Consider the following 27,720-nt stretch of genomic DNA (forward strand, 5'->3'; position numbering starts at 1 on the left):
CTATGGAGGAAGAGACTGAGGCCTAAGAGGGGAGGTAACTGTTTTCTTGCAGCAGCTTTATGATGAGAATCACTGTTTCCAGCCTAGAGTTCTCCTCTGTGCTCTGTGCTAGGCTCCAGGGAAAGCTTCAGGAAAAGGGCCCTAGCTGAAAGAGCAGAAGAACGGGTCTCTGGGAGTGCTCGTGTATTGACAGAAATTCCATGCTGTGTTCTCGGGAAGTTCCCACTCTGTCTGTCAAAAGCCCAGCCTGCTCCCTTGCTAATCAATGGGCTATTTGGAAACACGTCCCAGGGTCTGAGTCCTCCAGCCATTTTCTAGCTTTGTGTGCTCAGTTCGTGATGCACAATCTAGGATGAGAGAGCCTAGCCCAACTGGGGTCACATGCCCATTCCTGAGGGCACCATCACTATGACTCCCAAGATGGCAGGTAGTGAGGAAAGGGGAGTTTCTTAAAGGAACACTGGAGAGTTGTTACTGAAAGAAGGGGACATAGGTCCTGAGCAGGCAAAGCCAACAGGTGTCCACTACACACGCTGAGCTGGCTTCTCTTGCTGAAATAAAGATTACAAAGTGCTACCTTTAAAGGAAAATTGGAGAGTTGTTGCTGAAAGAAGAGGACATGGGTCCTGAGCAGGCGAAACCCACAGACGTCCACCACACACACTGAGCTGGCTTCTGTTGCTGAAATAAAGATAACACAGTGCTACCTTTGTTGGTGAGTGTTGACGACTTTGAAAGTGGGCTATTTCTCCATCTCCCCTTCCTTTTTTTTTTGAAACAGAGTCTTGCTCTGTTACTCAGGTTGGAGTACAGTAGTGTGATCTTGGCTCACTGCAACCTCTGCCTCTCAGGCTCAAGTAATCCTCCCACCTCAGTCTCCTGAGTAGCTGGGACCACAGGCACCCACCATCATGCCTGGCTATTTTTTTTTTTGTATTTTTAGTAGAGACAGGGTCTCGCCATGTTGCCCAGGCTGGTCTTGAACTCCTGAACTCAAGCGATCCACCCGCCTCGACCTCTCAAAGTGCTGGGATTACAGGTGTGAGCCACTGCGCCTGGCCTTCCTTATTTTTTTCTAAGGGGTTTCTAAGGGGTTCACATTTTTATAACCATCTCCTTGCTTGCCCTAGTCTTGCATTTTAAGAATTAAACTATGCAAAATTCAAAGATATAATTCTCCCTAAAATGCCTTTTACATTTATTTATTTATTCAGCAAATGTTTATTGACTTCTCATTGTGTTAGGCATCAGAGTTAATGATAGGTAAGGAAAACGTGATCTCTGCCCTCAGGGTGTATAGTGTAGAAGTTTGTAAAGAAGCTTTGTTTCACATACACCTTAACAGAGTACATGCACACACATACACACACACATAAATATACATATATAATACATTATTATATGCTTCAGAATTTCTAGCTTGCTTATAATTTGAAGACCTTTAAGCCCAACTGCTGCTCATCAGAAGTCCTAACTTGGTTAAAGAAAGGGGTACATTGTTGAATCACAATTATGAAGAACATTTTGCTAAAGAACATGACCTTGCATTCTCCCTGTGCATAGGACATCTTGGAAGTTGAAGAGTAAAAAATCCATCTCGGTGTCAAACTGCCTGCTACTCTGTTTTCCTAAAACCAGGAGGGAGTGGGTGGCCTTCATTTGTGCTGCTTCTGTTTGCAGGCTGTGAATGAGGACTGGCACCCCTGGCTGCTTTGCTGTTGTGTGTTGGTGTTTGAACACCGGTCAGCATATTGCTTTGCTATTGTCACGTTATTTGTATAATCCCAGCAGCTGGCAATTGTGTAATAATTTTTGAGAGCCCCAGATATTTGCTTAGAGAGAATAAAAATAGGCAGAGAATGAGGTGTGCTCTGCATCCCGTGCAGAACGTTGTATGACTGCACTTCACAATGACAGGATTGTTTCTTGGTTAGAATTTCCCGTGGGACTTTCCCTACTCAAAGTTCAGAGAAGGGTCATGCATTCTGGAAGGGAAGCCTGTCTTATCCTCTTTGCATGCACTGACAGAGCTAGAAAAATTGCCTCAGCCCTTGCAGTCTGGTCAGGCTTGTACTGATAGGGAACTCATAAACGGCTGTATTAGTCTGTTCTCATACTGCTATGAAGAAATACCCAAGACTGGGTAACTTATAAAGAAAAAGAGGTTTAATGGATTCACAGTTCCATGTGGCTGGGGGAGCCTCACAATCATGGAGGAAGGCAAAGGAAGGGCAAAGGCATGTCTTACATGGCGGCAGGCAAGAGACCATGTGCAGGGGAACTGCTCTTTATAAAACCATCATCTTGTGAGACTTATTCACTATGATGAGAAGAGCATGGGAAAAACCTGCCCCCATGATTCAGTTACCTCCCAACAAGTCCTTCCCATGACATGTGGGGATTATGAAAGCTACAATTCAAGATGAGATTTGGGTGGGGACACAGGCAAACGATATCAATAGTCACAATGGTTTTGAGCCTGAGGTCTGTACCAGTATGCAGACTTAGAAGAGCACAGAGCCACATCTTTGTCTCCTGCTTTTTGTTCCATGGTGGCAAGAGTATCGGTCTGGAGCTAGATTGCTGGGATTGAAGCTTGTCTCTTTCACTTACTAATTGTGCTAAAATTCTCTGCACCTCAGTTTCCTAACCTGTAAAACAAGGATAATATTAACGAGAATTCTATCTTACACACTTGTTAAAAGGAATGAATTAAAGGAGACAATACAGTGCTCAGCACAATGTTGGACATATAGCGAGGGTATTAATTAGCTGCTACTGTATAGCAATAATGCTGCCTAACAAATAGCCCTAATTATTGCAGTGGCTCATACAACAAACTATATTTATCTTACTTATGAGGTGGCCAGTCAACTGGGATTGGCTCTCCTTCATGCTGTAAGTCAAGTTCAGGTCTGCTCCAGGCATCTCTCATCTCTCCACCAGATGCTACCAGCAGCTACCAGGGACATATTCTTCTCCTTCTTCTCATGCCAAATGGCAGGAGGACATGAGGAATGTTAAACTGTCCTAGTATATTTAAAGCCTCTGCACTCATCATGTTTGCTAGCATTTCATTGGCCAAGGCAAATGACATGGCCAAACCCAAACCCATGTCAGTAAAGTGCGAAAGTATACTCTTCTCACAGTAGAAGACATGGCAAAGTGACATGGCAAGAATGTGGATTATAATCATATTACATGGGGGAAAAGAATTGGGAGTAAAAATTTGATCTACCAAAGCAAGTTCCCTATGTAACAAGATGTTGAGTGGGACTTTTTTATTGCCCCGAATGGGCATTCAGATTGCAAAGCTAAAAATAAAGTCTTAGACACTCTATTTGTTAAATAACTGGAATTCCTCATGACTTTCAAGAGGTATCAAAACTGGCTTTGGGACCCACAACTCTAAGCCCCTGGGTCTATGTAAGTAGAGGGATTAAAAAAAGTGGGTAGAATTTTTGAAATCTTGGCCTGTAACAAATACTAGCTTGAGGTGAAACACTTTTTGTTCCCCATAAAACCAAGAAAAGGGCCTCCAAGAGACTCCCTTATGGGGAGTGGAGATGCTTGCAAAAAGGGAGACAGGGTACCTTGCACCCTAGCTGGGTGTTTGCTGATCCATGGTTCTGGTGGAATGGAGTCTACTATTCAGGAGAGTGCTTTAGAGGGTTTGATGTGTGCCCTGGAGTTTGGGGCATAGAAGACATAGAGCCTGGTGCCTCTTCTAGTCTGGAAATTTTGGCAGGCAGCTGATTTAATGGAGTAGCCCATGCCAGCAAGAAAGATGGGTGGTAGTACAGTGCTAAGGGAAGAAAAGAACATTTTTTCCTTTGCATTCATTGAGGGCTTGGGAAGGTACAGAAAGCTCCACAGGAAGAAGCCTGATGTGTAGGGGAGGAGCAGGAGCCCCAGGGCTGTCCAGGCTCAATCACAAAAGGAGGAAATCTGCCTGGAGAAGAGGCTGGGTGTGTGGACAGCTGGAGGGTCTGAAGCGGGACCCAGCTGCCCCTTTCTGAGAGGCTCCCTACTGCCCAAGAGGGCCGAGGTGAGGCTGAACACTGTCTCAAGAAAACTTTATACACAGAAGCCACCACATCAGACAGCCCAGTCCAAACCAGAGCCATGCCAGGGAGGGACATCTCTCTGTCATCATCATCATAATAGCTCTTGCTGTGATTACGCTTCACTCATTCTTGTTTGAATGAACAAAATTAATCTGCCTCCTTCCTCCATTTCTGGTTCCTCTTCATAGCTTCTTGCCTCCTCTCATCGGCTCTGTGTGGAGACTTGCAATACTTTATATACTGGTGAATGAGCTGTCTCGGCTTGGAGGCAGGGCCTGTGGGGGTGGGCGTGCTGGCTGATCCGCTTGGGGCTCCCGGCTTTTACTCCTAATCCTCAGCTTCTGTCTGGCCTGTAGCAGATGGAATCCTCTGCAGGATGCTTGGCCAGTTGCTTCACTTTTTAAAACAAGGCAGGGTCCAAAATACATAAATAAAATGCTGGCAGGGAGCATATCTTTGCAAGGAGCAAAGGGTTGGCATTTCTAAGGGAATAAGCTTTCCCCAACGGTAGGAGCTATCTTTTTAAGGATAAATCCTTTTCTAATTTGACAATCTTTTAGCTCTCAGGGAGATATTAAATAGCTCCAATGGATGAAGAAAGAAGTTAAGATTTCCTAAGGTACTTTGTCATTTGAGACGCGAGTACAGAGCTACGGCCAGCAATTCATTTGTTCTCATGCTTAGATCTGGGCCATTTGGTGACCTGCCTGAATTTAGCAAGTGACAAACCCCACTCCTGGCTCTGATTGTGTAAACTGATACAATACCCAGAGTGCGACTCGTTTCAAGCTTTGCGTTTGCCATGGATTTGGAAATTACCCAAATCTATTGCTGAAATTAGTGAATATTCAAGTTTCCAGCCAGGTGGCTGGTTTCCTTATGCCTATTAACTTTTTCTTTCTGATTAGAAAGGTGGTATTTGCCATTGAATACAATTTGGAAAATAGGAAAACTTATAAATGATAAAGCTCTTCATTCATGCTGCCAAGTTGCATTGTAGAAAGCTTGTTCTAGTTAACCTGACAGCTAGCACTATGCATGTGCCCCTCAATGCATCTTTGTTTGCAATGAGTATTATCCTTAGAAGGAAAATAAAACATTGTCAATTTGTTAGGTGAGAAAATATTTTATTTTTCATTTATTTGATTGCTTATGAGATTGAGCACTTTTATTTATTGACTGATTGTATGTCCCCTTCTAAACATTGTTTTTCCATGCTGTATGTCCATTTTAAATTAAGCATTAGTGTTTTCCATATTTGTAAAAGCTCCGCATATATTGAAGATATTATTCTCCTTGTTACTCTCATAAGAAATACTTATAAGAAATATTCTCATAAGTGTTGCAAATATTTTCCAAATCGATTTGCCTTTGATTTTGTATTTGTATGGTTTCCAGCCTGGGCGCCAGAGCAAGGCTTTTTGTATTAGTCTGTTTTCACACTGCTGTAAAAGACTACCTGAGACTGGGAAATTTATGAAGAAAAGAGGTTTAATTGACTCACAGTTCCACAAGCTTAACAGGAAGCATGACTGGGAGGCCTCAGGAAACTTAAAATCATGGCGGAAGGTGAAGGGGAAGCAAGCACCTTCTTCCCATGGTGGCAGGAGAGAGAGAGTGAGGGAGGAAGTGCCACACACTTTTAAACCATCAGATCTTGTGAGAACACACTCACTATCGTGAAAACAGCATGGGGAAATCTGCCTCCGTAATCTCATCACCTCCCACCAGGTCTCTCCCCCAATATTTGGGAATTATAATTCAACATGAGATTTGGGTGGGGACATGGAGCCAAACCATATTACTTTGTCTCTTAAAAATGCTTTGTATTTTAAAATAAGAATAGAGGGCAGGCACGGTGGCTCACATGCCTGTAATCTCAGCAGTTTGGGAGGCTGAGGCAGGCAGATCCCTTGAGCCCGAAAGTTGGAAACCAGCCTGGGCAACAGGGTGAAACCCCATCTCTACAAAAAATACAAAAATTAGCCAGGTGTGGTGGCATGCGCCTGTAGTCATAGCTACTTGGGAGGCTGAGGTGGGAGGATCACTTGAGGCTGGGAGACTGAGGTTGCAGTGAGCTGTGATCGTGCCACTGCTCCAGCCTGTGTGACAGAGTGAGAACCTGTCTCAAAAAAAAAAAAAAAGAAAGAAAAAGTAAAAGAAACATTTCACTTATAGAGAACTTAATACAATCTAGGCTTTGAGTTCTTTAAATTCAATATCTCATTTAATCCTTCCAGTTTTCTCAACATGATTCAGGTAGTAGATGGCAGAGCTGCAGCACCCACTCAAGACTTTCTGATTCTGAAGCCTGAACTGTTAACCTCTGCAGTCTATACAGTCATCCCCTCGCTTAAGATTTTTGCAAATTGTTTCCCATGGTTTAAGGTGGCAGAGAACTAGTCTTTTAACACGCTAATTTTTGGTCTTATGTTAGTAACTCGTTTCATTTTTTTTTCTCTTTGAAATAAAAAAGTGTTAAGGTAAGGCTAACTTTGCTTGAAGTTTAGTGAGCACCGCTGATTTCGAGTCAAAGTTTTCTTCACCTCAGGCGAGTTTTTATCTAGTGCTGTGGTTCTCAATCCTGGCTGTACTTTAGAATCAAGTGAGAAATTTATTAATTTTCCCCCCTAACCCTCCTGAGAATACTTAAGCCAGAATCTCTAGGGATGGGAGTATAAATTGAATTTTTTAAAAATAAGCTGCCCAATGATCCTAATGTGCAGCCAAGACCCAGTGACAGAGCAAACCTTCAATTATTATTACTGTTTCTATTGCTTTATTTTCCCATAATTCTTGGGTAGAATCTTGCTTCTTTTTCTTTCATGTCTATTATGTCATTATTTTTTACCTTTTTATATTTTTTTCTTTTCTGTCTGAAGGTAGACTTGACATGTGGGCAAACCGAGCAGGGCACCCATTAGCTGGAAGGGAAGAAAGCAGAGTTGGCTTAGAGATGAATGCAAATAAGATCTGAACACCAGCTCTCTTGAACCACATGGGTGCTTATCTTGCCCAGGGAATTAATTCCTTTACACCACTCCTTTCCCCTTCGCGCTCACCTCAAGAAACCATCTATTTATATATTAATAGTGTTTTTTTTTTTTTTTGAGATGGAGTCTCGCTCTGTCACCCAGGCTGGAGTGCAGTGGCGCGATCTCGGCTCACTGCAAGCTCTGCCTTCTGGGTTCACGCCATTCTCCTGCCTCAGCCTCCCGAGTAGCTGGGACTACAGGTGCCTGCCACCACCCCCAGCTAATTTTTTGTATTTTTAGTAGAGACGGGGTTTCACCATGTTAGCCAGGATGGTCTCGATCTCCTGACTTCATGATTCGCCTGCCTTGGCCTCCCAAAGTGCTGGGATTACAGGCGTGAGCCACTGCGCCCGGCCCAATGGTGTTTTAAAAGTAATGCTTGCCTGTTGACTCCAGGAGTCTGACGCCAAAGACTGAACTCCCAATATGTGCTAAACCATCTCCTCTTTGGACTCCCACTATCTCAGCTACTAGAAATGTATTATCTCATCGATATATGTTCCATTAAAGCCAGGGGTGTCGTAGATGCAGGTACAATGAGTACAGAGTCAGATTCAGAGAAGGAGTTGATCAACGATATCCTCTCCCTCCTCCATCAAGAATTAAGTCATGCTGTACACAAATGGAGTCTCCAGACATCCTCCCTGGGGAAACAGTCTAGAAAGCAGGAATGGCTGGGGTTGATTTCCCTGTCTGAATAATTTTTAATGGCTCAGCTTTCTCCTGCTGGGTTGACTCTCTGATCCCTATGCCTTGTAAGCCATTTGGACACCTCACCCTGCTTCTCCTTCTCTGCCAACATGCATGCTGCAGAGCAGACTCCCCCATCCTGGTTTCCTCTCCATCCTTTTTGCTGCTTCTAGTGACTGCTTTGTCTGAGTGATTTAACAAAACTGGACGTTCCATTAAGATACTTTGCACCTGGGGCTCATCTTCCCCAATCATTTGTCTGTTCTTAGTCCTGTACTTTCCAAGACATCTATTGAAATAAGAGCTTCATCCTGGAGGATATTACATTAAATGAAATACGCCGGGCACAGAGAGACAAACACTGCCTGATCTCACTGATAAACGGAATCTAAAAAAGTTGAGCTCATCGAAGTAGAGAGTGGAATGGTAGTTACCAGGGGCTGGAGTGAGTGTGTTGGGGAGATCCTTGTTGGTCAAAGGATACTAAATTTCAGTTTGACAGGATTAATAAATTCAAGAGGTCTATTCTACAACCTGGTAGCTATAGTTAATAACAATGTATTGTATTCTTGAAAATTGCTGGTCAGGTGTGCTGACTCACTCCTGTAATCCCAACACTTTGGGAGGCTGAGGTGGGAGGATCACTTGAGCTCAGGAGTTTGAGACCAGCCTGGCCAACATGGCAAAACCCTGTTTCTACAAAACAAAGTACAAAAATTAGCTAAGCATGGTGGTGTGCGCTTGTAGTCTCAGCTACCTGGGAGGCTGAGGTGGGAGGACCACTTGAGCCTGGGAGTTCATTAAAGCTGCAGTGAGCCATGTTCATACCACTGCATTGCAGCCTGGTAACAGAGCAAGACCTTGTCTCAAAAACAAAAAATTGCAAAGGGAGTAGATTTTGTGTTCTTATCATACACACATACACACACAAAAAGATAAGTCTGTGAGGTTTAGCTTGGTTTAGCCATTCCACGATGTATTCATATTTGAAAACAACATTTTATATATAACAAATATACATAATTTTTATTTGTCAATTAAAAGAAAGAAATAAGAGCTTGAGGAAGATACAGTGTAGGTAGGCCATAAAACCACAGAGCCTGCACTTGGGTACCCCGGGAGAACTTAGGGAGACGGGATCTGGTTCCATTCATGCAGTAAAAACTCCAAAAGTGGTCCCTGTGCATACTGTGTGACTTATGGCACACAAATGGGGAGGTGTGCCTGAGGATTTGCATTTGCTGAAGGCCAGTTATTTGTCTAGCACTTTCTGAAGAGTAGACGTGAGGAGCGGTAGAGTTGTGATGCAGGTCTTCGGACTCCTCATGCACTACTCCTTTCTCTATTCTGGGCGTGTCTTCACTGAAGGTCTCCAGAGAGGAGCAAGGAGAGACTAATTGGGAACAGGCAGGATTTGACAGTTTGGAAAAATCAGACAAGTGATCTCCAGGGGAGATGACCCTGGGCTCTAAGCACACTTGGTCTGTGTCCCAGGCATATCTATAAATTACTCCCTTACCTAGAAATCACCTGGCACTGTTGCCCAGAGAGGTGCCTTGAAGAGGTACCTAGAGAAAATATTCAGCTTGCAAGCTGCTAGTTCACAGACAGGCTTGAAATCCCTCAGAAAATACTTTGTCCATGTCACCTTGTTGCACTCCTCATTATGGGAAAATCATCCTGGGTAAACACCAAGGTGGGCAAACTGTGTTTTGGCTTGCTGGTACTGGTTTGCCATTCTTTTCTCACCACATTCATTAAATTATCAAAATTCTATAAGGATTTAAATGAATGTTCCAGCCTCAGGGCCCATCTGTTCATGCTATTTATTCCCTCGGGGAAGTCACGAATCTGTCATTTGCGATTTTAGTTTTTGTGTCTGTGGTGCCAGTGGTGTTTCCTTCTGTGAGGCACGACTTCCCAGGCAGGACTCTTGGGAGGATTGTGAAGCTAATGGCACCTCCTTCCTCAGGAAGTGAGACACCTGCAACCGAGTGTGAGGTGCAGCAGCCAAGAGCCAGTGAGGAAGAGAGCCTGGAGGGGGAAATGTGCATTCCTTACTTCACAAGACAGAATTTCAGGCCTGCAGAGGGATGGGGGACTTCCTTTAAGTCATCCTAAAACTTTCCACCATCCCCAAATGCCAAAAATACTTCTTCTCAAAAGAAGACTATTCATTTGCTGGGGCTGCTATAACAAAACACCATGGAACGGGTGATCTAAACAACAGAAATTTCTTTCTTTCAACAAAAATTTTTTTTTTTTTGAGACAGTCTCACTCTGTCACCCAGGCTGGAGTGCAGTGGCACTATCTTGGCTCACTGCAACCTCCACCTCCTGGGTTCAAGCGATTCTTGAGCCTCAGCATCCCAAGTAACTGGGACTACAGGCATGAGCCACCACACCTGGCTAATGTTTGTATTTTTAGGAGAGACGGAATTTCACCATGTTGGCCAGGCTGGTCTCGAACTCCTGACTTCAAGTGATCCACCCGCCTCGGCCTCCCAAAGTGCTGATATTACAGGTGTGAGCCACTGCGCCCAGCCCAGAAATTTATTTCTGGTGGTTTTGAAGGCTGGAAGTCCAAGGTCAGGGTGTGGTCAGTGTTGGTTTCTACTCAGGTCCCTTTCCTTGGCTTGCAGATGGCTGCCTTCTTGCTACCTGTTCACATAGCCTTCCCTTGGTGCAAGCACCCTGGGGTCTCTGTGTATGTTCAGATTTTCTCTTCTTGTAGGGACACTAGTCAGATTGGATTAGGATCTACCCTAAAGGTCTCATTGTAACATAATTAACTCTTTTGAAAGGCTTTATCCAAATACGGTCACATTCTGAAGTTCTGGGGGTTAGGACTTCAGCACATGAATTTTGAGGGGACAGAATTCAGTGCCTAGCAGTGCATGAGGGTATAAACACTTGTTGAGTTTCTGTTCTGTGCCGGGTACTGCACTCATGACGTCACATGTTTTCTCATTTACTGAAAAGACTTTATAAATCATCCAACGGTGATCCCAGCGGCCTTTGTATGATCATCATTCTGCAGTCAGTGCAAGGAGTGAGGCTTCCCTTAAGAACTTAGACATTTGGCCAGGCGCAGTGGCTCACGCCTGTAATCCAAGCACTTTGGGAGGCTGAGGCAGGAGGATCACTTGAGCCCAGGAGTTCAAGACCAGCTTTGGCAACATGGCAAAACCCTGTCACTACCCAAAATACCAAAAAAATTAGCCAGTCATGGTGGTGCACGCCTGTAGTCCCAGCTACTTGGGAGGCTGAGGTGGGAGGAATGCTTGAGCCTGGAAGTTTGAGGCTGCAGTGAGCTGTGTTCTTGCCACTGCCCTCTGGCCTGGGTGACAAAGTGAGACCCTGTCTCAAGGGGCAAAAAAAAAAAAAAAAAAATTCAGTCATTTAAAATTAGGGCATAAAGAGCAGAGTGAGAAAATAAAGTCACCTTAAAGAGAGAAAAGGGTCCCCAACCCTACTGTACTTGAACCTAACTGAACTGAATATATTGGTAACAATAATGGTGGTGGTGATGATGATGATGATGATAGTTGATGTTTGTTGAGTGCTACTTTTGGCTGGGTGTGTGTTCTAAGTGCTTTAAATGGATTACTTAATAGTCACAAATCTAAAGAAAGAACACATCTAGCACTCTTAAGAGGGATTGGTCAGCTAAGTATGCAAAGAAAAAGGAGCCTCTCAGAAGGTGATGTTGGCACTGAGTTCCAAATACCACCTAAGAAAGACAGCATCTAGCTAACAAATTCAGGTATGAGGGTTCCTTTGGCAAGGCTGTGCCTACTGTGCACCTGAGGGCAGCAGGCTCCAAGATGGAGACCCAGAGCAGTGACTCATCTGCTTCTGCCTGTTCCAACTCTGTGTTCCTGAGCCTCCATCCAAATATGGGTTGACTTCCTGTGTTGGTCTGATAGGAGGTGCTGATCATGCCAAGATGAGGATTCTGTCTTACAGGTAGAGCTCTCCTTGCAGATAAGTAAAGTGACATTCTGGTTGATATATCCATCTGGAGATAATAGTGGGAGAGAGACCTGTGGCTGCAGGGTTGATGAGCCAGGTCTTTGGCTTGATTTAGGGTAAGAGTCAGACCCTGGACTGGGATATTATATTTGTTTCCTATTGCTGCTGTACAGAAAAGAAAACTATAGACAAATACCTCGGATATATAGACATAAAAATCCTCAAGAAAAATACTAGCAAACAAAATCTAGCAACATAAGAAAATGATTATACACCATGACCAAATGGCATTTATCCCAAGAATGCAAGTCTGGTTTAATGTTTAAAAGTCAATCAATGTAATATACCACATTAATGGAATAAAAGAAAAAACTTACACAGTCATTTTAATAGACAGAAAAACATTTGACAAAACCCAACACCTTTTCATAATAAAAATACTTAAACTAGAAATAGAAGGGAACTTCCTTAACCTGATAAAGGACACTTCTAAAAACCCCACAGTGAACAACGTCATAGTTAATGGTGAAAGACTGAATGCTTTCCCTTCAAGTTTAGGAAAAAGACAAGGGTGTTCACTCTCACCACTTCAACATTATAGGACACATAGCATGGGCTTTGGAATGAAAGAACTTGGACTCAAATGATAGCTCCATCAATCACTAGCTGTGTAATTTTGGGCAAATTGCTTAACCTCTCTAAGCTTGCCTTAGTTTCTCCCTGTATACAATGGGATGATAATTATACCTACATTGCAGGTCTTTTTTTGAGGACTGAATGAATGTCAAGCTTCCAGCTCTGAGCTGGGCACGAGGTGGATATTCACAAAATGTTCTTTTTGCTTTCTTCCCTCTGGGATGCTTAGCTTCATCTCAGAGAAAAGAGAAGGGTGTGGACAAGACAAGGTGGGGAGAGTGGGAGGCACATTTAAGCATTTTTGAGATACTCTAATTAACGGGCAGAGGCCAGGCTGGAAACAGATCAACTGTGCCCTTTGTGTGGCTGTTCCAGAACAAGCTCATTTTTGCCATGCCTTCTGCTTGGGACTGCCGGGAAGGCATCCTGTTCTCCAAGCCCCCGCACTGACGGCACTGTCCGGCCGCTCTTCTATCCCTCAGCAGGAAGGCTCAGTAGGGGTTTAGAAAGCAGATTGTCCACACTGTCCTGATTTCGGGAAAGAAAAGCTCTTTCTATTGAACAAATAACCTTTTGGATGAGAAAGAAAAGAAATACTCCAGAGGCATGACAGTCACAGAAGGGGCCCAGGGACAGCCCAGAAGGTGTTTGTGTGTGCAGGGAGCTGAGTTGCAGGGGGAAGTGTGGTGGGTGGAGGGCAGGAGGAGTGAGACATGTGGTCTCAGTGTTCTGCTGAGCTTCAGCATGCTGCCTCCATAGTGGAGTTAAGGTTTTAACTTGTGCATATTGGGGCATAGTAATAGTCCCAGGGGTTTGCCAGAATTTCTGTGCTAATTTTGCAAAGCTATGCAGATTCAGGAGTAGTTCTTTGAGCTTTTCTTTTCTTTTTCTCATTATAAGCATTAAAGTGACATGCATTTTATGAACTGTGAGGAAACTTGGGATAAGGTCATGAAGAATGGCATTTGGTGCTCTGCAGAGAAAAACATCCCTCAGGTATTTGAACCTATTGCACTGGAGAAAAAGAGAAAAATATACCTGTGAAAGCTCTTATTATCATTGTCACGTTCATCCCAGGGACTCAAATTAAATCTGGGATTGTGCAGAAACTGTGTTTCCACCCTCTGGGGACAAATCCCATCACCAACTCAGCTCTTTGTGTAGCGGAGATTTTCAGTCCCTCCTGGGAGCTGTTTTCACCCTCTTCCACCAGTGAGTCATCCGCAGAGGCTGTTCTCCAAGAAGGTGGGATGGGAGAGCAGGAGGAGGTGTCAGAATGTAAAAGCTGTTCTGTTCTTTCCTTGACAATTATCTTTGCAGCTTGTTAGTAAGATTTTTCTGCAGAGTCAGAAAAAGTGAATGGACCAGGTACTTACCCAGGGTCTGATTCCACCCCGCAAACCCTCACCTGGCTGAATATGAGATCCCTACATTGCTATTGGCGCTCAGAAAACAATATCCAAAAATGAAGGCCTCAGAAGCGAAAGTGTTTTTCTCCTCCCCGTCTGTCTCTCAGTCCCAGTCTCTCTCAAGGCTAGCCATAGAAACTAGAATCCTTCTTTCCCAGGGCAGATCATAGAAACCAGAATACTTTTTCCCCAAAGCCAGCCATAAAACCTAAAAATACTACTCCCACTTCCCTCTGCCTTTCTGTGTAAAACCTGGCCATAAAGAAATTATCTGACCAACCTTCTTTGACTATAGGTCCTAAGACTCTCAGTCCAGAGAGGGCCCTGCCCCACACCCAGAAGGAAGGAATGCTGCCCAGAGATGACCAGAGGAATCTAGACAGGTAGGTCTTCTGGGTTTCCTCACTTAGTCATGAGCACTAGATCCTATCCTTTTTGTCCAATCATATTTCTCCATGGCTGTCTATACTTTGTTGAACCCATGCATAACAATGGCCAATTTCCCTTGTGTCTTTGGGTCTTCATTCTGAAGGCTCCCGTGGATACACGTCAAATAAAGTTGTATGCCTGCCTTCCAATTAATCTGCTTTTGTGAGTTGATTTTTTGGTGAAACTTCAGAGGGCCAGGGAGCCCTTGGCCCCTACATGGCCACATGTAAGTCTTATGTCCTGCTGCCTTTCAAACAGGAGTGAAATAATCCCAGCGACAGCGTATGTGTGAGATCCTTGGGATCAAGTCACTTCAACAAATATTTAACATGCCCTGGGGTAGGTACATGACACATTACAGAAATGAGTAGGTCAAAGATATCCAACCTTAAGAAAGTTAGAGTCAAGTGGGTTGAATACATGTGCATTTGCATGTATTTGCATTTCATAAATGAAATTTACCATTTCATAAGGTAAAGTGAAAGGAAGGCTGTGGCAAAGGTATACGTAAAATGCAGGGTTGTGATGAAGGGGGAGAAATCAATTGTCCGGAGATGGAACTGGGGGAGGAAGGAGCATTGAGGCTGAGTCAAGTGCAATGGTGGGGATCAGCAAAGATGTATGTCTTGGAAAAGCCCAGAACCGGAGTATGGCCCTAGTGCATGGATGAAGCTGCAAGGGTGGACAGAACCAAAACAGAAGGTCACATGTGCCCAGCACAGCACACTGGGCACAGACTAGGACTGCATCTGGTTGCCTCCAGATGGCTTTAGGGGCCATGCAGAGGGCAGTGGTAGGTATGAGGGAGCCAGCGGAGGCTTCTTTGGAGGCGATCTGTTTGATGTGATACGGTCTGTGGATGGAGGCAGTATAACTTCGTGGCTTCTGGCCTGTGCCCTGGAGTTGGAGAGCCTGGATTAGAATCCCAGCCCTGCCACTTACTAACTGTGTGACCGTAAGTATGGTTTTCCTCAGCCTGTGTTTCCTCATCTGTAAAAGAGAGACAAGAAGAGTACTCATGCGGGGATCTCGGGAGGGTTAAGTGAGATAATGCATGTAACACGCTTAGCTCAGTGCCTGGTCCTTGGCAAAGGCTCAGCAAAGGGAGGTGATATTAACAACCATTCCAAGGAGATGGCCGTCAACGCTAGGGGTGGATAAATTGGGAAGAGAGGGACGACAGGCCTGGGGCCACGTGGGCAGCTGTGGCCAGCATGCAGGTCAGGCGTGCCAAGGCCTGAACCTGAACAGTGGTAGGAGAAAGGAAAGGAGAGATGGATGAGATGATTCTTAATGCTGAGATGAAACGGCTAGGACTTGGCAAGTCTAGGAAGTGGGGCTGAGGAGAGTGAGAGGAGTGACACAGCTGAGGTTCTTAGGTTAGGGCAACTGGGAGAGAGGATGGGAGGAGTGTTGGAGGAATACTGAATTCCATATTGGGCTCTCTTGAGTGAACAGGCTCAGGAACCAATTGCAACTCAGGGACAAGGTCAGGGTTGGAGTTACGTGCTTGGCTAGGGCTGAAGCATCATGTGGCAGAAGTGGCTGAAATCATCCAGGGAGACAGAATAGAAGCAGAAAATCTCATGCTAGAACCATAGAGAAGATTTGCATTGAAAATGGAAGTGGAGGGTAAGGAACAGGGAATGAGAGAGAGAGAGAGAAGCAGCTGCATTTGGGGAGGAAGGAGAAGAGTCAGGAGAAAGCTGGTGTCAGAGATTCCAAAGCAGGAGGGGTCTGACCAAGTAGGTGTTCACGGAGGACAGGGACCAAGAGGAAGCTCCTGCGTGTCAGTCAGGATGTGGCTTGTGAGTCTTGCAGACATACTGCCTGCATGGAGGTGAGAAGAAGAGCTGCAGTCCTGGGGGCAAAGAGGGGAGTGTGTGGCGGTGCACGGTTCAGTGAGTCCTTCAAGACGTTCGGAGGTGAAAGCAAGGGGAGAATGTTGGCCAAGCTTGTAGGAAAGAGGATTGAAGGAAATGTCTTTAGGATGTGTGATATTTTAGTATTTTTACAGGGTAAAAAATGAGAGTGTGAGGAGAAGGAACTTGAAGATGCAAAAGGAGGAGATGGTTGATGGATCCAAGTTCAGGAACACATGGGAGGGTGTGGGGCTGAGAGCAGTCGGGGGTTAGCCTTAGAAAAGGGTAGCTACGCTGTGGAGGGAGAGGAGGAGAAGGGAGTGGGTGAAGTTGGGAGACTTTCTGAGAGAAGGCTTTCAATGAACTAGCGAGTGAGGTCAGGAAGGGTTTTGGAGATGGGGGGAGATTCAGGGAAAAGATGTTTTCTTGTTTTTTTTTTTTTTTTTTTTTAAATAGAGACAAGGTCTCACTTTGTTGCCCAGGCTAGTCTTGAACTCCTGGGCTCATGCAATTCTCCTGCCCTGGCCTCCCAAAGTGTTGGGAGGTGTGAGCCACTGCACCCAGTCCAGGGAAAAGGTTTGGAACAGCCCTCACGGGGAATAAAACTAAGCACAACTAGGGGCATTGACAAGCAGGACTGGGGGTCAGTCGATTTGAACATCTGTATTGGGGGGGGTTGGGCAGATAAGCACACATATATGTATACATATACACATATATGTTTGTGTGTGTATGTGTATATGTATATATTTTACTGTGAGTGTTTGGCAGCCTAAGTAATGGGCAAAAGAAAGTGGGTTTGCACATTGGGTGCAGTGGCTCATGCCTGTAATCTCAGCACTTTGGGAGGTAAAGGCAGAAGGATTGCTTGAGGCCAGGAATTTGGCGTCAGCCTGGGCAACATAGTGAGACTCTATTGCTACAAAAAATTTGAAAAAAAAAAACAAAAAAAACAAAAAAGTGGCTGAGTGTGGTGGCTCATGCCTGTAATGCCAGCACTTTGGGAGGCCGAGGCAGGCGGATCACTTGAGGTCAGGAGTTTGAGACCAGCCTGGGCAGTACGGTGAAACCCCGTCTCTACTAAAAATACAAAAATTAGCTGGGTGCGGTGGCAGGTGCCTGTAATCCCAGCTACTCAGGAGGCTGAGACACAAGAATTGCTTGAACGTGGGAGGCAGAGGTTGCAGTGAGCCAAGATTGTGCCACTGCACTCCAGCCTGGGCCATAGAGTGAGACTCTGTCTCAAAAAACAAACAAATAAACAAACAAAACTTAGCCAAGTGTGGTGATGTCACTGGTAGAGGGTCGTGACTGCAAGTTATTGAGGTTCTTGGTGTTTTGAACAAAGAATGGGACAAAAACGCCCAGCAAAGCAAAGAAAGAATGAAGCATCAAAAGAACGAAAGCAGGTATTTATCGAAAATGAAAGTACACTCCAGTGTGGCCGCAGACCCCAGCAGCGGCTCAAGAGCCCAGCTACAGAATCGTCTCGGGTCCAAATACCCTCTAGAAGTTTCCCATTGGCTGCTTCATGCTCACCTCATGTAAATGAAGTAGTAGCCCACAATCAGTCTGATTGGTTGCAGAAAGCAGCCAACCAGAGGCTGAAGTGAAGTTACAAAGGTCACACACCTGTGCAAACATTGGTTGCAAAAACAATCAGGGGTTAGGGTGAAGTAAAGTTATACTTCTATGCAAATGAAGACTTGGCCTGCAATCAGTCTGATTGGTTGTGGACAGCAACCATTCAGAGGCTGGAGTGAAGTTACAAAGTTGCAAACGAAGACGGGACCCTCATTCAGTCTGATTTATTGCAGACAGCCAATTTTCCATCTGCTCTGCAGAAAAGGTCAAAGGGACCAGTAGCCTCTGGTCCTTTTGTTACTTAGGAGTGGAAAGTTAGGGTTTTCCTTTTGATTTAGTTCTAGGAAGTCGGTATGAAACATTTAGGTTTTTTGCCTCCAGACCCTATTTCTCCTGCCTCAGTGGCACATGCCTGTAGTCCCAGCTACTGGAGAGGCTGAGGTGGGAGGATCCGTTGAGCCCAGGAGTTTGAGGCTGCAGTGAGCTATAGTCGCACCACTGCACTCCAGCCTGGGCAACAGAGTGAGATCCTGTCTCTCAAAAAGAAAAAAAAAAGTGAGTTAATGTAGGGCTGAAAATTGTGCATGTCTCTGGTTCCTCATGGGAATTGGCGCCATTTCACTTAAGGCCAGTGCATAATAAGGGCTAAAAGACTAAAGACTATTGGGCATCTGTTGCGTGCCAGGCCTTGAGAGAAGTATGTTACCTCTGTTAGTTTATTTAATTCTGTAACACCCCCATGAGGGAGGCCACATCATTATTCACATTTTGCAGGCGGAGAAACTGAGGATCATAGAGATTAAGAGACTTCAATATGATCACAGCAAAGAATAAGCAGTGCAGGTGGAAACTGACACCGGTGCATTTGTAGGAATTAAGCATTTTCTCCTGCATCTCCTGCCCACAGCACAGACTGGGTCTCGGGGCTAATTAGACATGAAAAAACAGCATTTCCTGTTGGGGCTGATGCACTAGGAAGCAAAGGGTTTTGATGAAACAAACAAACAAACAAAGAACAAAATTGAACCGCCATCCTCCTGTTTCACTACTCTGAGGCAATATGTGTGGGAACTTTTTCTTCCTTTTCCTTTTTTTTTTGTTTTTGTTTTTTGGTTGAGGTTCTCTGCTCAAATGCACTGGAATTGACAAATTCTAATGATAGTCTATTTTGGAGGGAGTGTTAAATTATTCAGAGGTAGGCACAAATAGCACATCTCTAGCTTCGACTTCGGCTTGAACCTGCAGATGTCAATTTATTGAGCCCTGTGAGGGTCTGCAGAAAATGCCCAGGCCAGAGTGGGGACAGGCGGCAGGGCTTCCATCCACTGCCCAGGAGGCAGGTGCTCGCTGGCTGCTGTCTGGAGTCTGCAACTCCAAACTCTCCACACTTCCTGTCCCCAGGCAGCAGGGTCACTGGACACAGCTTGGCGCCATGGCAACAAAGTCTTTGACTGGGGCTTCTTCTGATTTCTCTTGTTCTCCCTTGCCTGGGTGTCAGTGAGCCTTCCAGGTATGCGATCCATGAGAAGCTGGAACTTCTGCAGTGCACTTATGGTGATCACATTTGGGGTTTTGCATACTTGGAGCTCGGAAACGTCCACATGCACATGAGGGCTTTTTGCAGGATGCTTAAAAAGTGAGGCATGTTGAGATACCTTAAAAATAAGGTCCTCCCATGCCTCTTCACCACTTTCTTTCTTCCTTTTTTTTTTTTGAGATGGAGTCTTGCTCTGTCTCCTAGGCTGGAGTGCAGTGGCGTGATCTCGGCTCACTGCAACCTCTGCCTCCTGGGTTCAAGCAATTCTCCTGCCTCAGCCTCCCAAGTAGCTGGGATTACAGGTGTGCACCACCACGCCTGGCTAATTTTTGTATTTTTAGTAGAGATGGGTTTCACCATGTTGGCCAGGCTAGTCTCGAACTCCTGACCTCAGGTGATTCACCCACCTCCGCCTCCCAAAGTGCTGGGATTACAGGCGTGAGCCACAGGCCCGGCCTTCTCCACCACTTCCTTGTCATCACTCAACTTCTTCTTTCCCAGGGACCTCTTTGCATTTTCTGATAAGGATGTTGCTACAATTCAGAATCCATTCAAGACCGCTGGGATTCTAGGCCTTCCCTGTGGAAATACCTTGAGGGATGGACAGAGCCACAAAGTAGCTGCAACTAGGATGATTATTTAATTTAGGATCCAAACCTGCAAGAGAGCGAAAAGGGGGTGCTTTTTACAAATGACTCCAGGACACCCGGCGTGATCAGGCACTGTCTGGAGCAACTTGGGAAGGTGGCCACTCTGGAAAGAACACAGGCTCTGGAATGAAATGTTTTGCTTAACATTTAAGAACCTCAGCTTTTTCATCAGTTAAACTGACATCTACTTTTCATGGTCCTGTTGGAGTAACATATATGAAGTGCCAGGCACAATTCCTAACACATAAGTGTTCAATATTTATTAGCTCCTTTTCTTTAAAAAGCAAACAACCCCAATAAAAACAACAGCGACAACAAAAACTGCCCTGTACCAAAAAATCATTTCTAGGCTTCCAGCAGGTGGGATTGAGTCCCACCTATTTTCTCAGCCTACCTCTTTACCCAACCATTCGTTCTAATGCAGAGGTGGAATATTGCTTTCCCAGTCAACCATTTCCTTTTCTGCTCAGATGTTTCTGGTCTCTGTATAACAGTATTTCTCAACCTTTTTTTTTTTTTTTTTATTTTGAGACAGGGTCTTGCTCTGTTACCCGGGCTGGAGCACAGTACTGTGATCATTGCTCACTGCAGCCTAGACCTCCCCAGCTCACGTGATCCTCCCACCTCAGCCTCCCAAGTAGCTGGGACCCCTCTCCGCCATCATGAAATTCTAATACTACAGATATACCGTGTATCTTTTTATGTACTGTGGCCCTTGAGAGGCCACAAACCATTGTGATATCTAAGATTGTTTTTCCTTCCCCTCAAAGAGCAGATTATCACCCTTTTCAAAAACCAATTTTCATCCCGTTGGAGGCAATATCCACCCCTTTGAGAACACTTGGCATTCAGCATGAATCTTTCACTCTTCCCGCTTCACCTCAGATTCTCCCGTGTCGGGGGTGTCATACTTCTCAGTTGACAGCTACCTACATGGTGGTGAGGGGAACAACCATGAAAAACAGAGGTACTTTTTGTTGAGCAAGTGCTTCATGGTACATTATCTCTGATCATCACAGCAATGTTGCAAGAAAATTTTCTTTCATGGATGAGAAAACTCAGGCTTGGAGGGATAAGTCACCCATAACTGTGGGGCTGAATGTAAAACAGCGTCTGTCTGATATGAAAATCGAAACCATGACGCCATCCTGCCTGCTCATTCATAAAGGCCAGGGAAAGGTAATAGTAGAAGGAACCAGCGTTTACTGAGCCGTTACTGTGTTTCTGAAACTCTGGTGCTTTGCCTACTTACTTATTTCACATCTCTGCTTTGTGAAGTTTGGGGTATGTGCCTAGTGTTAGAGACAAAAGATGGGTTTGCAGTGATTATTTTTTCAAATTTCACATGGCTAGCAGTTCATGAAGCCTGAATTGTAACCCAGGTCTGCCTCTCCTAAAACTCCTCTCTGTTCATTACAAAACACAGCTCCTAGGAGGAAGTGCTGTTAGCCTTCACCTTGCAGGAGGGCAAGAGAACCACACGATTGCAGCTTTCTCCCACTGCCTCTTCCCCAACACACACACTTGATTTTTTTTTTGGCATGTGTAGATATGAAAATAATATAAAGTTAGATATGAAGATAATATAAACCATAACATTCTGAAAACTTTGTGTACTTTACCACCTTCACAAAGTACTGCCTTCACAGACTCCTAGGGATCTGGGAATCCCAGATTAAATGCCACTGGTCTCTGATATGCCAAAGAGGGGCCTGCTGGAGAGAACTTAGCAGGATGCCATTCAGGTGGGCATACTCAGATGCAGTGTAGCATAGGTATAAACCTCAGATTAGTCGGGAGAGAGCGGCCGACCTCAGCAGGTTGCTGGAAGGTTTGATGTAGGGTTGATGCATCTGACAGCCAGAATGTAAGGGGTCAGTTTGTGGGTGACTTACTCTCTAGGGGCCTTAGGTATATTCTCGGAGAGAGAACCTTTATTTACCCGTGCCCATCCAGCTAGTGGAGAACCAGTGGGAAGGCCCATGCGTCTCGGGTGCTTTGTCCCAGGGAGAGAACTGTGCGGCGGAGTAAGGCTCTTGACTCAGCTGTCTGCAAGCCCTTTACATCTTCATTTCATTACTGGCCTAATTTGCTGAGCCCTGACCTGACAGCCAGGTGGGGCCAACCATTCCATTCACACCCTGGAGCAAGGAAGCTCTAGGTTCCCGTAAGGCAGACTGCCTTTTTAGTTGTCAGCAGATCTGTCTCTTGGGAGCGGGAATGGGGTGGCTTCCTTCCCTCAGGGAGGAGGGGGTGGTGACAGCCGGGTTGACCAGCTCTCCTGCTGTGCCAAGAGGCATCTGAAGGCTGGCACATGGGATCCAGAGGTGGGTGGCAGTGATGAAACAAGAGGGCAAGCAGCTTTGGCAGGAGAAGCAAGAGGGCTCTGGGTAGCCAGCTTATTCCTGCTCTCCTGGTCAATGGCAACTTACCTTGACCGGGATTTTGGCAGATGAAGGAAAAACTATCTGCTCCTGAATGAAAATTTGATCCACGCAGAAGACAACCTGCAGGCAAAGCAAAAGCACTGGTATGTGATTTTTAGGGAAGAGTATGAATGATGCAACTTGTAAACCAGTTATTGGGGTGACTCGTAAGAAGCAGGCAGTCACTGAGCCTCAGTTTCCTCAGCTGGGAGGTGAGAGGGCCAGGTCACATAACCTCCAAATCCCATGTATTTTTTCATGGTTGTATAAATTCTTTAAATGGTTTTATTAAAAACTTAAATACGTCAGTGGAACACTTCTCCAGTCTCCAACTACTAATCACCCCAGTTAATGAGTTGTTTAAGCCACCCTCATATTAGAGTCTACCCACCTCCATTGTTTTAAAAATTGTGTGATTCTAAATGTGAGATGGAAGATGAGGGTGGCTTCAAAGCGTTTACCACAAAGCTATTATTTATTTTTAACTTATAATTATATTTACAATGGATGAAGCAGTTAACAAATCACTAGTGAGTAACTGTGTGTCAGGCATGAGGTGGAAGACAAATTACATGTATATTTACTTTGAGACTCAGAAATCTCACTTATTAGATTTTATTCCAAAACTACAGGACAAAACTAGGAAAATGTGAAATATATATATATATATTTCTCATATATATATATATTTCATATATATATTTCATATATACATATATTTCATATATACATATATATTTCATATATACATATATTTCATATATATATACACACACACACACATTTGCACAGGTTATTAATTGTAGCCAACAGCATTAATTCATCGGAACACATCAAATATGTTTAACCTGTAGGTTTATAATGGTGCTCAGAATAGAACACCTCACTGGTCACTTTTGGAAGATACTAGGAAACCAACTTATTATTTTGAAAACTGGTAAATAAGAAGAGAGAATCAGGTGTTTACTTTGCCTTTCCAATACAAACTATATCTCAGGACAACCAAATGATAGATGAGGGGAATTTGCTCTTTATAGAAGTATTCCAGCTGACAAATGAAAAAACAGTGACAGAATTGGAATTCTGTAATCTGAATTACAGGGTCTAGGCAATAATTGCCAATGAGTGTTAACATCACATGAAGAAAGACAAGATTTTATATGTATCTTGATAGAAGTATCACAACACTACCTATGAAGTAGCCTTGACCCCCAAAACAAGACAAAAACAAAACCCAACAATAACAAAAACCAACCAAAAAAACCCTAACCTGAATCTGAGGCGGAGCATGTCCAATGGAGCTTTCTGCAATGATAGGAATGTTCTGTATCTGCACAGTCTAACGTAGTAGCCAGTAGTCACATGCATGTGTTGAGCACTTGAAATAAGACTAGTGTGACCGAGGAACTAAGTTTTAAATTTTGTTGAATTATAACTAATTTAAATTTAAATAGCCACATGTGGCTCTTGGTTACTGTATTGGACAGCACAGTTCTAGACTGACCTATCAATTTATGGGAGACACAGGGGACAGAATAACATGTTGAATGACACCATAGGAATGCAAACAGCAAAACACATTCTATGAGAACTATAGTTGGCACTCTGAGTTCATGGATTCAACCAATAACAGATTGAAGATTTTTTTAAAAAAATGGATGGTTGCATCTGTACTAAATGGGTACAGACTTTTTTTTCTTGTAATTATTCCCAAAACAATATAGTATAGCAAATATTTATATAGCATTTACATTGTATTGGGTATTGTAAGTAATCTAAAGATGATTTAAAGTATACAGGAAGACCTGCATACATGATATGTAAATACTATGTCTTTTATATAAGGGTCTTAAGCATCCATGGGTTTTGTTACCTGCAGGGAGTCCTAGAACCAATCCCTCACGGTTACTGAGAGATGACTGTATAGGACAAACTATCTGGTTTCATCCACAAATAAGGCACAATGAATAAAAAAGAGATAGCTTGGGAAACATAAATTATTAAAGAAAGTGATATCAACCAATTATTAATACAAGGTATAGAACGTCTATGGATTCTGTTTCAACAATTAAACCAGTGAAATTACGAGACGATTAGGGAAATGTGAACACTGATTGTATATTTAATGATGTTACAAAATTATCACTTTTTAGGTGTGATAATGGCATACTGATTATTTCAAAATAGAGTCCTATTCTTTAAAAATTGTTACTGATGTGCGTATGGCTAAAATCATATGATGTTGGGCTGTGCTTCACAATCATCCAATGGTGGTGTGAAGGGAAGGAGGTTGGAGAACTGGGTAGGGGTATAGATGATATGAGATTGGAATGAGTTGATAATTGTTCGAGTTAGCTGGTGGGTACATGGTAGTTCATTAAATTATTCTCTCTACTTTTGAATGTGCTTGCAAATTTCCACAATAAAATGTTAAAAAAAAAGAAGTAAGGGAAACTTCCAAGGAACCTCTCTCTAACCCTAAATAACAACAGCCATAATATCAACAGCAGCAAAAATACCACCCTTGAGCTAAAACCAGAGCTGGGAAATGGAGGCAGGGAGAGGTGTACAAGTAGCACCCAGAACAGAAAAGCAGGGTGAGGGCAAACACCGCTATCAATGCTGTAGTAAGGAGAGTAAGCCTTGGGCTAAGGGCACTAAGTTAAGCTGCAACCCCAGCTAAGGTGATCCCAGGTCTACAGTGTCCCTGGCTGTCAGAGAAGGCAAAAGCAAATTCTGTCTGAAAGAGAGCACCCTCCATTTAGGTATGTGGGATTCCTACGGATTAGGGTTAAGCAAATAGGAGCAAACATTAGGGTGACTGTAACAATTATCATCTAAACTGAGACACTTTTGAGGATGCAAGGAGGTACTCAGATAATTAACAGGCGTCAGTTGGTTGTAAAAGACGTAAACTAAGATTGTCCTGGAGAAACCAAGCTATATGGTCCCTCTGGTAGCCAAGGAAGGGAGGAAGATCCGGCCACTTTGTTCCTAGAGTTTGGTGAGAGTGACAGCCTGCGTCTCAGCCCAGATCATTTGGAAATTGGGCTCATGCTCTGGGTCAATGATTCTCAAAGTGTGGTCCTTGGACCAGTAGCATCCGCATCACCTGGGAGCTTGCTAGAAATGCAGGCTCTTGGGTCCTGACCCAGACATAATAAATCAGAAACTCAGAGGATGGGCCCAGTAGGTGATTCTGATGTACCGAGTTTGAGAACCACTGGTGTAGGCAAACATTTCTGAGCTGTTGTCCATCCAGCTATTAACAAACATTCCGTGAGTATCACAATGCTCATTATTTTTCTTCAAAGTAATAGCAGCTAGGAACAAAGTTACATTTTCTCAAGCCTTGACATTTTAACAGTACCAGGTAATTCTATAAATAAAGTCTAATAAAAGTCATTCATCAATTATCCATTAAGAAGGATTTTAAAATAATAAAAATGCCTTTCAGCATTTTCTGTCTCAAAAGTCTAGTGCTTCTCCCAGAGGAGGAGAACAAAAATATCACCTTCTCAAAGGAAGCTTTAATTAGGTGTATATCTCTCCTGTGTGCCAATTCGTGGAGTTCCTCCAAATGAACTTCCCACACACTTCTGGCTGAAACTGGCCCCTAGTTAGCACTAGCTCATTCATTAGGTCTGCTTCCATTTAACCCGAGGCCTGAGGAGTAGCCCATTGCTCTCCTCTTTGATCTCCTCCAACAGAGTGGAGAACATGTCTGACAGTCAGTTTTTCTTTCCACACTAGGCTTCCTGGACTAACCAGGACTGGGTGTGAGACATGTACTAGATACTTCTGTGGCTTAAAACACCACCTTCTACCAAAGGCATGCTTCTGTTTGTCTTGAAGAAGTTTCTGGCATGGCTCAGTGGCTGTTTATCACCTCTGTATTAAGGACAATAGGATGAGCCCCTGGTTGATTAGAGCCTTGCTGGGGGTTGATAAACACACACCGAGATAGAAGACTCTCTGTTTTCTTATGGCCACAGGCAGCAAAGAGAAACCACACAGCCTCAGATGAACATATGTTAACACTAAGATTCTCCACACTTCCTCCAACTTCTTTTAAAATAGAACTATTTTCATGATGGAAGCCAGAAGTGCTACAAGCACTCAGGTGGCAGGACTTATAGCTAAGAGTGGCATAGGATCACACTGTTTCTTAAACCCCACTTCTGGAACTGGCTACATTCTTTGGAGACCATTTTTTAAAAAGTAGCCCTTTCTTCCACCCCATTCCCACAGGATTTTCTTCGGTAGGTCTGCATTGAGGCCTGAGAAACTCCAATTTTGGCAGGGTTCTTAGGGGATTTCTGATGTACAGCTTGAGTTGGGAACTGCCGATGCTGAGTTAGAGCTATTCTAGCAAGGGCGTGGAGTGTTTCCAGATTTTTGCTGGCATCATCTAGGGTGTCTTGCAGAACAGGGCCTTGCTCTTCTTCAGGAAGACTTGGAGTTTTCAGGAGCATCTTAGTAGTTTAGCTTTCTAACCTGCTCCTAATCCAGGTGATAAGTGAGTTCATTGAGGTATCCTGGTCAAGGGTGGAGAGAGGTTCCGCTTTGAGGGCCAGCTCTGCCACTTACCATCTGTGAGACTTTCAGCGAGTTACCAAATTCCAGCGAGCTTTGCTTTGAATGTCTAAAGAGTGGTAAGGGTAATATCTACTTGAGAGGGCTCTTGTGAAGATTAAATGACAGAATATAAGTAAAATGCTTAGCCTATTGCCTGGCACACAGTGAATGCTTAATAAATCATTCATATTATTATTTTTTTCCTAAGGGTTCAAGCCAATAGAGTTGCCAAATAGTTTGGGTTTTGTTTTGTTTTTTTTTTTGGACAGAGGTCACATTTTGGCAACATCTTTTTCTGCTAATGGATATTACAGAAAGTTACATTCAGAGAGTTAGATGCTGTACCTGAAAGGGTGTATGTTTAAAAGACTGACACTGTCGGACGGGAATTGGCAGTAGAGAACACAGGGTCCCACAGTGGATCCTCAGAGCAAGGATCCTCAGAGCTCCTGAGCAGAGGAATGGCACAAAGAGAGCAGGGAGGCAGAGAGGTAAGATACACGGCTTTGCAGGAACTCATTTCAGCCTAGATGTTAGCTGGAGGCCCTGAACCCTAAGAGCTGGATATGATGGGATCACACTCCACTCTACACTCTGGAAAGGTCCAAGATTTCTTGCATTTCACAGGCATCTTCAAAAGTCCCCCTTGACTCTGACTTCTGCTGATTCTCAACCCCTGTTCCTGTTGCGTGCCCACAGCCTTGCTGTTCTCTCATCCCTCCCCTGTCTCCTCTCTTCTGTGCTTACTCTGTCCAGTTCACTTCAAATGAGGAACAATTTAATTACCTCTTTTGCTACCTTTTCACTTGCTAACTCATGCTGTCTGGGTGTCTGCTGCCCCA

At 44.1% G+C, this 27,720-nt stretch overlaps 1 protein-coding gene across 12 annotated transcripts in view, besides 2 other annotated features; it reads left to right on the forward strand.

The window, feature by feature from the left end:
• SV2B (synaptic vesicle glycoprotein 2B) overlaps positions 1-27,720 on the forward strand; it is a 202,978-nt gene that overhangs the window by 15,028 nt on the left and 160,230 nt on the right. For 4 of the 12 annotated variants that reach the window (NM_014848.7, NM_001323037.3, XM_047433392.1 and 1 more), the window contains exon 2: positions 14,108-14,195. The exons of the other annotated variants lie outside the window; for them this stretch is intronic. The gene's annotated coding sequence lies outside the window, so the exon portion shown is untranslated. The remainder of the gene's footprint in view (positions 1-14,107; positions 14,196-27,720) is intronic. 12 annotated transcript variants of the gene reach the window in all.
• Positions 1,757-2,066: an enhancer, noted in NCBI's record as "active region_10108". NCBI's record gives its function as "activates an Ori minimal core promoter by ATAC-STARR-seq in GM12878 lymphoblastoid cells {active_cell/tissue: GM12878}" and the evidence as "EXISTENCE:reporter gene assay evidence [ECO:0000049][PMID:35858748]".
• Positions 20,727-20,976: an enhancer, noted in NCBI's record as "active region_10109". NCBI's record gives its function as "activates an Ori minimal core promoter by ATAC-STARR-seq in GM12878 lymphoblastoid cells {active_cell/tissue: GM12878}" and the evidence as "EXISTENCE:reporter gene assay evidence [ECO:0000049][PMID:35858748]".

The sequence above is a fragment of the Homo sapiens genome, chromosome 15 (genome assembly GCF_000001405.40).
Source record: "Homo sapiens chromosome 15, GRCh38.p14 Primary Assembly".
Lineage (NCBI taxonomy): Eukaryota > Metazoa > Chordata > Mammalia > Primates > Hominidae > Homo > Homo sapiens.